At 41.0% G+C, this 13,499-nt stretch overlaps 1 protein-coding gene across 15 annotated transcripts in view, besides 1 other annotated feature; it reads left to right on the forward strand.

Moving 5' to 3' along the window:
• Positions 1 to 13,499, forward strand: part of PDE4DIP (phosphodiesterase 4D interacting protein) — a 224,583-nt gene that overhangs the window by 7,674 nt on the left and 203,410 nt on the right. The gene's annotated exons all lie outside the window — the stretch shown is intronic.
• Positions 8,910 to 9,452: an enhancer, noted in NCBI's record as "NANOG hESC enhancer chr1:145058822-145059364 (GRCh37/hg19 assembly coordinates)". NCBI's record gives its function as "activates a minimal SCP1, AML or CMV promoter by ChIP-STARR-seq in primed H9 embryonic stem cells {active_cell/tissue: H9 hESC(primed)}" and the evidence as "EXISTENCE:reporter gene assay evidence [ECO:0000049][PMID:30033119]".

Genomic DNA, 13,499 nt, shown 5'->3' on the forward strand with positions numbered 1-13,499 from the left:
GCTTATAATGATGTACCTTTTAAAAGGCCAAATCATATTCCATTGTATGTTTATACAACATTTTATTAATCCATTCATCTGTTAATGGAAATTTCAATTGTTTCCACCTTTTGCCACTGTGAATAATGCTGCAACAGATATGGATGTACAGATGTCTCTTTGTGTCCCTGTTTTCAATGCTTTTGGGTTGCAAAAGAAGAGGGATTATTGCATATATGGTAATTCTATATTTAATTTTTTGGAACGACCATACTGTTCTCTACAGCAGCTGCACCATTTTACATTCCCATCAACAGTGTACAAGGGTTTCAGTTTCCCCATATCTTCATGAACACTGATATTTTCTGTTTTTGTTTTTTAAAATAATTGCCATCCTAATGGGTATAAAGTGAAATATCATTGTGGTTTTGATTTGCATTTCCTTACTGATTAGTGATGTAAAAGATATTTTTAAAGTTTCATATTTACTGACATATTTACCATTTCCAATATTCTTCATTATTTTCATCTGGTATCATTTTCCTTCTGCCTGAAAGAATTTCTTTAATCCTTCTTATTCTTGTGCAGATTTGCTGGTGGGAAAATTCTTTCAGCTTTTGTATGTGAAAAAGTCTTTATTTCACCTTCATGTTTGAAAGATATTCTTGCTGGTTATCAGGACTGACTACATACTTTGTGGGGCTCAATGCAAAATAAAAATGTAGACCCCTCTGTTCAAATATTATTAAGAATTTCAAGTCATCAACAACAGAGCATTAAACCAAGCCAGTCCTTCTGAGTGCAAAGCCCTGTGTGACTACACGGGTTGTATGCACAAGAAACCTACTCTGCTGGTTGTAGAATTCCAGGTGACTGCTCTTTTTTTCCTTCAGCTCTTTAAAGATGTTGCTCTGTTGTCTTTTTTTTTTTTCTGAGATGGAGTTTCGCTCTTGTTGCCCAGGCTAGAGTGCAATGATGCCATCTCGGCTCACCGCAACCTCGACCTCCCGGGTTCAAGTGATTCTCCTGCCTCAGCCTCCTGAGTAGCTGGGATTACAGGCATACGTCACCATGCCCAGCCAATTTTGTATTTTTAGTAGAGATGGGGTTTCTCCATGTTGGTCAGGCTGGTCTCGAACTGCTGACCTCAGGTGATCTGCCCTCCTCAGCCTCCCAAAGTGCTGGAATTACAGGCACGAGTCACTGTGCCTGGCTTCTCTGTTGTCTTTTAATTTTCAAGTTATGCTCTCATTCTTATCCTTGTTTCTCTCTATATAATGTTCTTTTTTCTCCTGAATACTTATAAATTTTTCTCTTTATCACTGATCTTAAGCAATTTGATTAAAATGTGCCTAGGTGTGGTTACTTTCATGTTTCTCGTGCTTTGGATTTGTTACGCTTACCGGATCTGTGTGTTTACAGTTTTCATTATACTTGGACAATTTTCAGCCATTATTTTTTCAAAAATTTTTGTTGCCCTCTATAACTCCATTCCTTTAGGGACTTCAGTTACATATATATTAGGTCATTTAAATTTTTCCCATTGATCACTGATGCTCTGTTCACTTTTTGTCTTCTTTCTCTTGTTTTATTTTTGGATCATTTTCATTGCTATGTCTTTAAGTTCACTAACTTTTTCTTCTACAGTGTCTAATCTGTTGTTAATTCCATCCAGTGTATTCTTCATCTCAGATATTGTCTTTTTCATCTCTAGAAGTTTGTAACTTTCATGTATTAATTTTTTTTCTTTTTTTTTGAGATGGAGTTTCACTCTTGTCAATGTTACGGTCTCAGCTCCTTGCAACCTGCAATCTCTGCCTCCCGGGTACAAGCAATTCTCCTGTCTCAGCCTCCTGAGTAGCTGGGATTACAGGCACCCACCACCACGCCTGGCTAATTTTTGTATTTTTATTAGAGATGGGGTTTCACCATGTTGGCCAGGGTGGTCTCAAACTTCTGACCTCAGGTGATCTGCCCGCCTCCTCCCAAAGTGCTGGGATTACAGGCGTGAGGCACTGTGCCCCGCCCATGTATTAATATTTTACTTCATTTTATCAATCTTTGTTCTACTTTCTTGAACATTTAAAATACTATAATAACAATTCTAACATTTGTTCAGTTCTGAGTATGTTTCTGGTAATTGATTTTTCTCTTCATTTTAAGTACTGTTTCCTGCTTCTTTGCACACCTGGCAATACTTTGATTTGATACCACACATTAAACATTTTACATATTGGGTGTTAGATAGTTTTGCATTCCCATAAACATTATTGAGCTTTATTCTGGGTCACAGTTAGTTGGAAACAGATCCTTCTTGATCTTAAGCTTCATTATGGGGAACCCAAGCAACTTTTTAAAGATGATTAATTTTCCCCATTACTTGGGTGATACCCTTCTAAGTACTCTAGCCAATATCCTGTTAATTATGAGGCTTTTCCCACTTTAGTAGATGATGAAACAAACTACTTCCAGCCTTGTATGAGCCAAGAGGATTGTTTAATCTGATTCTCTTGTGTGGTTCTTACCCCAACCTTGGTAGTTTCCTGATATACCGATCAGTATTCAGCTGAATATTCAAGGAGACTCTCCACAGATCTCTGGAATTTTCTATTCTTTCTGGTACTCTTCCCCATGAACTCTACCTGCCTTGGCCTTCTCAAATCTCTGCATGATCTCTTCAACTCAGGCAGATCACCAGGCTCTGCCTGGATTCCCTCTCTGTGAGCTCTGGGGCAGTTAAGTAGGACAGTTGTATGGCTTACTTTGCTTGTTTCTCTCTTCTCTTGGATAACTTTCCTATGTTGTCTGACATCCAGTGTCTGAAAATAATTATTTTATATATCTTGTCCTATTTTTTAGTAATTTCTGTCAGGGGTGAAGGGGAATGAATACCAACCCTATTACCGCATGCTGTCTGGAAGTAGAAGTGTCTTTCTAGCCACGTTATAAATTAGTAGTTTTCAACCCTGACTACATATTAGAATTATTTGGGGGAGGTCTTTAAAAAGCTGATGTAAGGCTTCATTCCAGACCAATTAAATCAGACTTTTTCAGATTGAGGTCTTAGCATCAGTGTTCTTTAAATGCACTACAAGTTTTCTCATGTATACCAGGGTTAAAGAACCTCCATATTAAAGAAAAGGTTGCATTTATAAATCATTCTGAGAAACTTTTGTATTCTGTCATTTCAGCTAAGACACAGAGGCGGTTGGCTTTTATTTTTGTAGACAGTGTGGAATTATAGAAGCTTTTAAAGAAGAGTCTGGCAGACATAGATCTTTGTTTTAGAGTTGTAAGTGTGGCAATCGTGTGAGAGATGGGCTTAAGTGGATTGAGTGAAGATCACTGAGAAACTGTTGCAAGTGGTTCACGGCCAAAGGTAATAAGGGCCTGAACACAGGCATTGGTATTGGGAATGGCGAGGAAGAGATAGGTTGGAGAATTTGAGTTAGAACTGATAGGATTTTTTGATTAATTGAGTGTGGGAAATGAGGGAGATGGTGGAAACAAATGTTATTCTCCAGTTTATTACTCTAGACAAGTAAACTCTGTCTAAACAAATTCCTAGGCCAGTCAGAGAGTAAATAGTAATTTCATTAACTGAGATAGATAATATGGTATGAGAAGCAGATGTCAGGGAAAGGAGAGAATTAATTTAGTTTGGGATATCCAAAAGGATATCTCATGGAACTGTCTCCTGACCTCTAGTTTATTCTGAATCATAGGACAGAGAAGACATTTAAAAGCATATCTTTTTAGTATGCTGTGTAAGTTTGAACAGATTTATCTTTCTTCTTTTATTTAACTTAATATTGAAATCTGTTTATATCTTTTTTTTTTTTTTTTTTTTTTTTTTTTTGAGGCGGAGTCCTGCTCTGTTTCCCAGGCTGGCGTGCAGCGGCGCGATCTGGCTCACTGCAAGCTCCGCCTCCTGGGTTCACGCCACTCTCCTGCCTCAGCCTCCCGAATAGCTGAGACTACAGGCGCCCGCCACCACACCCGGCTAATTTTTTGTATTTTTTAGTAGAGATGGGGTTTCACCGTGTTAACCAGGATGGTCTCCATCTCCTGACCTCATGATCCGCCCGCCTCGGCCTCCCAAAGTGCTGGGATTACAGGTGTGAGCCACTGAGCTCGGCCGAAATCTGTTTATATCTCTTAAACAAACATCAGTTAATACTGCAAGAAAGTAGATGTTGGCCGTGCGCGGTTGCTCACGCCTGTAATCCCAGCACTTTGGGAGGCCTAGCGGGGCAGATCACCTGAAGTCAGGAGTTTGAGACCAGCCTGGCCAAAATGGTGAAACCCCCTCTCTACTAAAAATACAAAAAATTAGCCGGGCGTGGTGGCAGGCGCCTGTAATCCCAGCTACTCAGGAGGCTGAGGCAGGAGAATCACTTGAACCCAGGAGGCGTAGGTTGCAGTGAGCCAGATCGCGCCACTGCACTCCAGCCTGGAAACTCCATCTCAAAAAAAAAAAAAAAAAAAAAAAAAGAAAGAAAGTAGTTGTCTTCTAGATGACAAAATGTCAAGTCAGAGATTATTGCAGACTTTTGTTTTGTTTTGGGTTTTTGACTGTGGGTGTGTCCATTCCTCCCTTCTTTGGACAATAACCCTACTTTTTTTTTGGGGGGGGGGTGGCTAGAATTGTCTTCTTTGCCATGGTTTATAGTCTTGGTGGGAAGTTTGTTTAAGGTATCCCGAGCTAAATGATAATCTTGAGACCCACACGAGGATGATCTGATTATTTATTTATTTATTTATTTATTTATTTATTTATTTTTGAGGCGGAGTCTCGCTGTTGCCCAGGCTGGAGTGCAGTGGGGCGATCTCGGCTCACTGCAGGCTCCGCCCCCTGGGGTTCACGCCATTGTCTTGCCTCAGCCTCCAGAGTAACTGGGATTACAGGCACCCAATACCTCGCCCGGCTAATTTTTCGTATTTTCAGTAGAGACGGGGTTTCACCGTGTTAGCCAGGATGGTCTCGATCTCCTGACCTCGTGATCCGCCCGCCTCGGCCTCCCAATGATCTGATTTTTTGAGCATTGCATCATCAGTGGAACAACATAAGAGTAGCAAAAAGTGGCCAGAACCAATCGGCCCCTTCTTGCTACCTAGATCCTAATTGCTTCCCCTGTTCCTGCCCCTCCCTATTCCTGCCCCTTCTGAGCCTGTTCTTTTGAGTCTTCAACTGTTCCTTTGATTCTGTGGGTCTCCTCTTCCAGTAAATCCTATTTTAAAAAATAGCTGGAGTCTGTTCACTGATCTTTCCAAAAGGTATATATGGAATGGCAGGCACAATACTAGGTGCTAGAATAAAATGAGGAACAAAATTATTGGATAAAGGCTCAGTGAGGACGTAGACAGAAAACAAATAAATAAATATACAAATAAAGGGATTTCTGATATTAATAAAGTTTATTTTAAAAAAATTTCGTTAGAGAGGAATTAAAGCAGGAGGTGAAAGAACTGCAAAACCCCTAAGGTAGAAATAAGCTTAGTGTGTTTGAGGAAGAAAATGGCCAGTGCAGCTGGAGCATAATAAATAAGAGGAGGGGGCAGAGGTGAACCTGAGCCAGGTCACCTGAGACCTCATAGGCCGTGGTAAGAAGTGGATGTTATTCTAAGGACATGGGGAAGCCAATAAAGATTTAAAACAGGAACATCATATGATCTGAAAAATGTTAAAAAGTCACTTTGCTATTGGAAAACAGACCTTAGGAGGCCAAGAGTGGAAGGAAGGGAGCTGCTTTGCTGGCTATTGCAGTAAGTAACACCAATGTGAGATCATAGCGATTTACATCATGGCGGTAGCAGTGGGGCTGGTAAGAAGAGAAGGACTGAGCCTTCTAGCAGATAACTTGGTACCCTGCAGATCCCGAAAACAAAACCAACAAAGAAGATAACCGGGGGATAAAAAGAGACAACTTCATGGTTGGAGTCTTTATATTAAGTTTTGTTTGAAGCCTCTGTTTGAGGTTTTTTGCTTCACCCTGGTGGAGGTTTTCTCCCCACTCATTATGAGGGTGGGAGTTAGATGGTGGGACAAAGAGATAGAGGTCACTCAAATGAAAAGGACCCTGGATAGTATTAAGAATATCTTCACACAGGGTTGCATATGGTGACCAAATGGTGGTAGCGCCCACGGTGGGAGGGGTAGCAGACATGGTGATGGTATTTCCCTAGAACAGGGGTCCCCAGCCCCCAGAGCATGGACTGGTACTGGTTCTGGCCTGTTAGGACCCCGGCTGCATAGCAGGAGGTGAGTGGCAGGCCAGCGAGCATTACCCCTGAGCTCCACCTCCTGTCGATCAGCAGACCAGCAGCTGCATTCAATTCTCATAGGAACGGGAACCCTATTGTGAACTGGGCATATGAGGGATCTAGGTTGCCTGCTTCTTACGAGGATCTAATACCTGATGATCATTCCAAATCCATCCCCCACCCTGTCCATGGAAAAGTTGTCTTCCTTGAAAATGGTTCCTGGTACCAAAAAGGTTGGAGACCACTGCCCTAGGACACTTTAACCTCTTCATGAAGTTGCCTGTTCTCTTAGATTTATTTGCTAGAGCAGCCTCATAACTATAGGTGATTCATACTAGGTCTCACAGGAGTTCCAAACAGAATTCTGTAATGATTTTATATTGTGAAACCTGACATCTCATGGCAGCAACATTATCATTATCACCATAATTACATATATAATTACATGATTAATATTTATCGAGTAAATGATAAATGCTAGGCCCGATCTTAAACATTTCATAAGAATAATATTATTTAATTTTCACTATAATTCTGTGAGAAAGATGCTATCGTGATCCCGTTTTATAGAGAGGTTAAGTAATTTGACAAGATCACACAGTTATGAAATGGTAGAAGTTGTGTTTAATTGGCAGGTGTTGATTTTCTGTTTCATGTGTATTAGAGTAATTGTTTTTGTGCATCTTGTATGTTTTTAAAATTTTTTCCTAGGTTTGCTTTTTGTTAAAAAGTAAACCAAAACAAAACAAATGAAGACTATAAAACGAAAACCTTTGGTAGAACTTGGGCAAAAATGGTCTGGTCTTCAAGTTAGCATACCAAGTATGAAAATGTCATCTGTTTAAAAATACTAAGCTGCATGATTAAAATTTGACCTTGTGAAAATTTGCTTTCTAATTTATATGGCACACCACCTGAAGGCCAGCACAGAGAAATATATGACCTGTTTAAAACGAAAGGAAGTGTACCTGGGCACGACCAAGAATCTATCAAAAAAGCATCAGAAAGCTCCATATTAAGGTTAATAAAAATAGGTGAACCGCACATTTCAAAGGAGAATCTGGGACACTATTCAAATAACAAAGACTTAAAGCAGGCTGGGTTCACTGCCCAGAATAATAGGCACACGCATTTACAGAATGGGGGGATTTTGTCCACTGTACGCATGCTCATTCACACTCACATCTAACCCTACAACACCAGCTCCGAGAAAGTGGATGCAATGAAGGAAATGTTAACATGAGCAGTGACCCTAGTGTACAAACAATATCAAATTTTAGATTCTTTTTGTTTCCATGATAGTCTAATCTGTATTATCTTTTGGCTATATCAACCTTGACTTTGAAATCTCCAAATAAACATTTCAACCAAAATGTACGGCTATATTGTAATTTCAGCAAGAAGGGTTTTCATTGTTTGCACATATCTTCAAAAAGAAAAAAAAGTGTGCTTGGTAGTAATCAAAAGCACATTCTCGAGTGAGCATGCTTTGGTGGTATATTCTACAGACTGGGAAAGGTCCTACTTATCACTCCCAAATTTTCAGCATACATCTAGTTTCCTGATGTGCAGCGTTAAAAAACTGCTCTGACTTCTTTGTCTTTCTTTACTGTAGAGAGAATAATAGCTTCTTTGTGAATGGGAGAGCTGGGTCTCTAACTCCACAGAATGACCTTGGATTGGGGAAAGGTTCAGAAGTCTGTGTGTTTGTTACTATTACTATTGCTGCATAGCAAATCACCTCAGTGGCTGAAAACTGCAAGTATTTAGTACTCACAGTTTTGGAGGGTCAGAAATCTGGGAGCAGCTTAGCTGGTTAGAATTGCCTCAAGTTCTCTCATGAGGTTGCAGTCAAGCACTCAGCTGGGGCTGCTGTCATCTCAAGACTCGACAGGGGCTGAAAGGTCCGTTTTCAGACTCACGCACACGGTATTTGGCAGGCTTTAGTTCCTGTCCACACAATAGGTCTGCTTATAACATGGTAGCTTAGTTCCCACAGCACAACTGATCTAAAAGAAAGAGAGCATGCATACTCCAAATGGAAGCCACAGTTGTTTTTGCTTTTTAAAAAATAATCTAATCTCGGAAGCAACATTCCATCACTGCTGCCCTACTGTATTCATTACAAATGAGTACTAGATCCATCCCAGACTCAAGGCGAGGGAATTACACAAGGGTTTGATGACCAGGGATCACTGGGGACCAACTTAGAGACTGCCTATTACAGTCTGCATCCATTACCTGAGCTCCTGGACACCAGAGGAGCAGCAGAATTAGTTCTCCCTTTCTTCTTCTGGAACAAGACTAGTACAAACTAAGCACAAAAGGGAAGGGGGAGTATAACCAGAGCTGAGGCTGAAGACTATGCCAAGCTATGTAAGCCTTATTAAAGATTTTTGTCTATATCCTCAGAACAATAACAAACTCAGACTCTGCTTGCCTCAGTCATCCCTTCAACCACCGCTGGAAGACATTGCTGGCAGTGACTGGCCCTGGGGACTTCAGTGTCTTCTTGCGTGCCTTAAAGGCTAAGGTTCACATCTATGGCTCCAGTGTCCTACCCGAGGGTAGGTTAAAAGAATGACATGGGTGACTCAAGACTAGAGAAGTGCCTGGCCCTGTGAGGCAGACATATTAATAGTTTGAGAGGCAAGAAGTCGGGCCCCAGGTTCCCACCATGAGGAACTAGGAAGCCATAGAAGGAAAATGCAAATGCCACACACCTGCAGGTGCCTGGCGGGTAGCATAAATAAGTGAACCTGCTTAGGTGTAAGGGCATAGGGAATAGTGTTGGTGACTGTGACTGTGACTTTCTGGACCATTGACCAAACAAAATACATCAGTGAAGGCAAGTCTCTAGGATAGTACCACCAGCAGGGGGCACCTGCAGATGGTTTTCATTGTCACAAAATTAGGTTTGGTACTTGGGGATGAGCAGCTATTCACAGTAGAGAAGCTCCAGTTTGAAGTATCCTACACTACTTGAATTCACTACAGGCTGCATGGAGGAAGCAGCATGGCCACTTTGATTTCCAGAACTACCCGTACACAATGTGAAAAGAAGAATAGAGGTGAGGTGGATTTGGTTTTGGAGGTGAGTGAGCAGGTGCCTCCAAATAAGAGTTGGGGCTCAAGGTTTTCTTAAAAAAGATAGACTCTTGAAAAATTGCACTCTAGTTACATTAGTGCCAACTCATGAGGTCACCTGTTCTTTTTTCCCTCTCCCATTATCTCCCCTTTCTACCCCATTCTACCCTCTCCCTGATGCCCTATACATCACAGAAACTTGCCCTTGAGACGTAAGACTGTTTGGAAGGAGGTTGGAAGAGCTGGCCTTGGCTCAGAGAGTTGCTTTTACCTTGTGGTATCTTAAAGGTGCCACCTGATGTCCAACCATTCATAACAGACAGAGAGCTGTTGCCAACAAGGTCAGCAGAACATAGCACTAGAGAGCACCAGAGGAGACACCTAAAGATGTGGCTTTTGGCACATCATCTGGGGATGAACAAGTTGGGCCTGGACTAGGACGAAGCAAGTAAGACACTCCCTGAATCATGAAAATGCAGGGTCAGATCCTGTCTTTATTTAAAGTTTTGATATTTTGTTCATTGCGGATTTTTTTTGCGTTACTATTTTTCTAAAATATTGCATTAAAATATGATTTATCTTGATTACCGAGATTTTGGCACGCTTTAAACTTCGCACCTCAGGTGAGTGCCTTGCTCCTCTCATCCTAGTTCCAGCCCTGAATACCTTAACAGTTGAATCAAAGTTTGAACCAATTGATCTGGTCCATCAGCACCAGACCCTTCTGGTTTTGATTTTTTTTCCCTCCCTCTATCTCCTAAGAATGTACCGAAGCCAGCAAATAAAGGATGCAATAATTCTCTTCTGTATACCACAAGCTCTGAGCCTGGGCCAGCTTGGGTATTTCTGTACCTCTCTGTCTGTTATTATTATATCACACGCATAGCCTAAAACTGGGATACTTTTATCTGAATAAAAGATTATTCTGGTCGAAAGGAATTGTGATGGTTAATGTTGGATGTGCTTGTTCTTTTACCAAACTGATATAATGTTTTGTTTTGGTTTTTGAGACAGCGTCTGGCTCTTTCACCCAGGCTGGAGCGCAGTAGCACAGTCTCCACTCACTGTGACCTCTGCCTCCCAGGCTCAAGCCACTTTCCTACCTCAGCCTCCTGAGTAGCTGGGACTACAGATGTGCACCAGCACGCCTGGCTAATTTTTGTTGTATTTTTTGTAGAGATGGGTTTCACATGTTGCCCAGGCTGGTCTCGAACTACTGTGCTCAAGCCATCTGCCTGCCTCACCTCCGACAGTGCTGGGATTACAGGCATGAGGCGTGGCACCCTACCCCTATGGCATTAACTCCTAAAGCCACTTGAACTTTGCAAAGATAAAGGACTGTTGAGTTTTGCTCATCTTTTGTCCAGAATTGCCAGATGTTTGATACGGTACTCAACAGCTCAGTATTTTGACATTTTATATGCTAAAATAAAAATGAAAACAAAAGCGAATACAGAACGTGAGATTTTTCTCATTAAAATTTCTTCCTCGTGTGAAGCTTTCTGAGGCTGTATCTTGATATTTTTGAACCTTTGCCAGCTGGAAGAAAGGACAAAACAGCTGTTCTAAACTGCCAAGAAATTGGCTGGTGCATAGAAGAGGGAATTTGTCTTTGTTGTATATTTTGCCTTTGTCCTGGGAGTGATTATTTTGATCAGCACTTTTGGTTGTACAGATGTGAGCCAAATATCTAGCAGAGGGTAGCTCCTGATTTTAGTTAAGTAATTCACTGCTGAGACTTCAGATTATGATGTAAAGTGTTCTGCTTAATAGTGATAAAAGCTGACCTGAAAAGGGTGTTATATTCTTTTTTTTTTTTTTTTTTTTTTTTTTTTGAGACAGAGTCTCACTCTGTCACCCAGGCTGGAGTGCAATGGGACGATCTCAGCTCACTGCAAGCTCTGCCTCCCGGATTCACGCCATTCTCCTGTCTCAGCCTCCCGAGTAGCTGGGACCACAGGCACCCGCCACCACGTCCAGCTAATTTTTTGTATTTTTAGTAGAGATGGGGTTTCACCGTGTTAGCCAGGATGGTCTCGATCTCCTGACCTTGTGATCCCCCCGCCTTGGCCTCCCAAAGTGCTGGGATTATAGGCGTGAGCCACCATGCCCGGCCAAGGGTGTTATATTCTTTTACATAATACAGTTATGCAACGATTTTAAATATTCTTAGGAGATACACATTAAATATTTAGGGGTGAAGAATCTACATCTTACTCTCAAATGGTTCATCAAAATAATACTAATGATTGTGTCTGTGTGCTTGTGTGTGTGTGTGTGTGTGTGTGTAAAGAGAGAAAACAAATGTGGCAAAATGTTAACAATCTATGAAGCAATTGAAAGATTTACAGGACTTTATTGTGCTAGTTTTACAACTTTACTATATGTTGAAAATTTTAAATTTTTCAAGCTGGAAAGTTAAAAAAATCAGTGTTACTTTTCACTCATATGTGTGTATGAGTGAAAGTTATTATATATGGCTTCAGGGACCAGCTAGTAGATGGCATGATACAAGAAACAAAGGCAAGGACCATGGATATATATGGCTATCTTGTCCTTAGAGGTATTTTTTCTTTTTTTTAAGAGACAGGGTCTTGCTCACTGTCACCCAGGCTGGAGTGCAGTGGTGTGATTACAGTTCACTGTAGGCTCAACTCCTGGGCTCAAGTGATCCTCCCACCTCAGCCTCCAGAGTAGCTGGAACTAGTGGTTTGCACTACCATCCCTAGATAATTTTTAAATTTTTTTTTGTAGAGACAAGATCTCGCTACGTTGCACAGGCTGGTTTCGAACTCCTGGCCTTAAGTGATCCTCCTGCCTCAGCCTCCTGAAGTGTTGAAATTATAGGCATGAGCCACTGAACGTGGCAGCAATATTTTTTTTTTCTAATTCAGAATCCAATCCAAGATCTGAACTAGGATCATGCATTCCATTTAGTTATTGTTATCACTATGGATTTTTAAAGCAGTCTAGATTGATTGACACATGCTCCTTTGACTTGTACTGGAACTACTTGCCCCATCCTGGAAAATGACTCGGATTTTAGTGATGGTGTGATTGTCATGAATGCCTTGAAAGCTATTTATGAATTTATTCCAGTATTGTTTCTGGTCCCAGAAATGTATTTATTGACCCTAACATCAGTCCCTTCAATTTTTGAGAACTGATATCTATGTTCAAATCAAGGAGAATTATTCATGTAATTCACACAAGTCTTCCCTCACTATTCCAACCCCCTTTCCAGAAATTTACATACCATATTTCTTGCATGATTTCCCCTCTCCCAACGTCAGATACAGATAAATAGTGGGTGTTGAAAGGATAAAGGGGATTGTGTGAGTAAATTACCATCAGCTGTCTGAAGGCTTGGTTGTAATTTCTTTCCTTGAGGTTTGAGGTTTTTGTTATGGCTGACAGACAAGGCTAACCATTGAAAGGGATGGATCTGAATAAACACACACACACGGTTCACAGTAATTATTTATTGAATGAATGAATGAATGAACGAATGAATGAGATAATGCATCAGAAATACTGTGTACATTTTAAGGCATTGTCCCAGTTGTCTATTCCTGCATAAACACACACACACACACACACACACACACACTCACACACACACACTTCCTCAAGACAGATACAAGATGGGGGAAATGTCCACCTTTTCTGCTCCCTAGACCTCCAGCCAGCAAGTGAGGAAATCCACTTATTCAGCTTCCTTGCCAATGCTTTGGTCTCACATGATAAATCAGAAAGATGAGAAATGGAAAATCTGGGTCACTGGCCTAGCCCTAGGGAGCACTTTGGAGCAGAACTGAAATTAAAATTCATGACTTCTACACAGTATTGGAGTCCTGCCTAGTATGCAAACATTAATGAAAAATAGCTATGATTTATAGAATGCTTAAAATGTGCTAGACAATGAATTAAAAACTTTTCATATATTAGCTCATTTTGTTCTTACAGTGGCCCTATTAGGTAGTTATTATCATTAACCTTGTTTTACAAATGAGGAAGCTAAAGCACAGAGTTTAAGTCATGTCCAAAATTGCATGGTTGGAAATTGACAGAGGAGGAGGATTGGAACCCATGTCCCTGACTGTAGAGCCAGTAATCTTAACTGCTCTGTTGTAATGCCTGCCAGCAACCTCAGCTGCGCTGCACCGCTC

The sequence above is a fragment of the Homo sapiens genome, chromosome 1 (genome assembly GCF_000001405.40).
Source record: "Homo sapiens chromosome 1, GRCh38.p14 Primary Assembly".
Classification (NCBI taxonomy): Eukaryota; Metazoa; Chordata; class Mammalia; order Primates; family Hominidae; genus Homo; species Homo sapiens.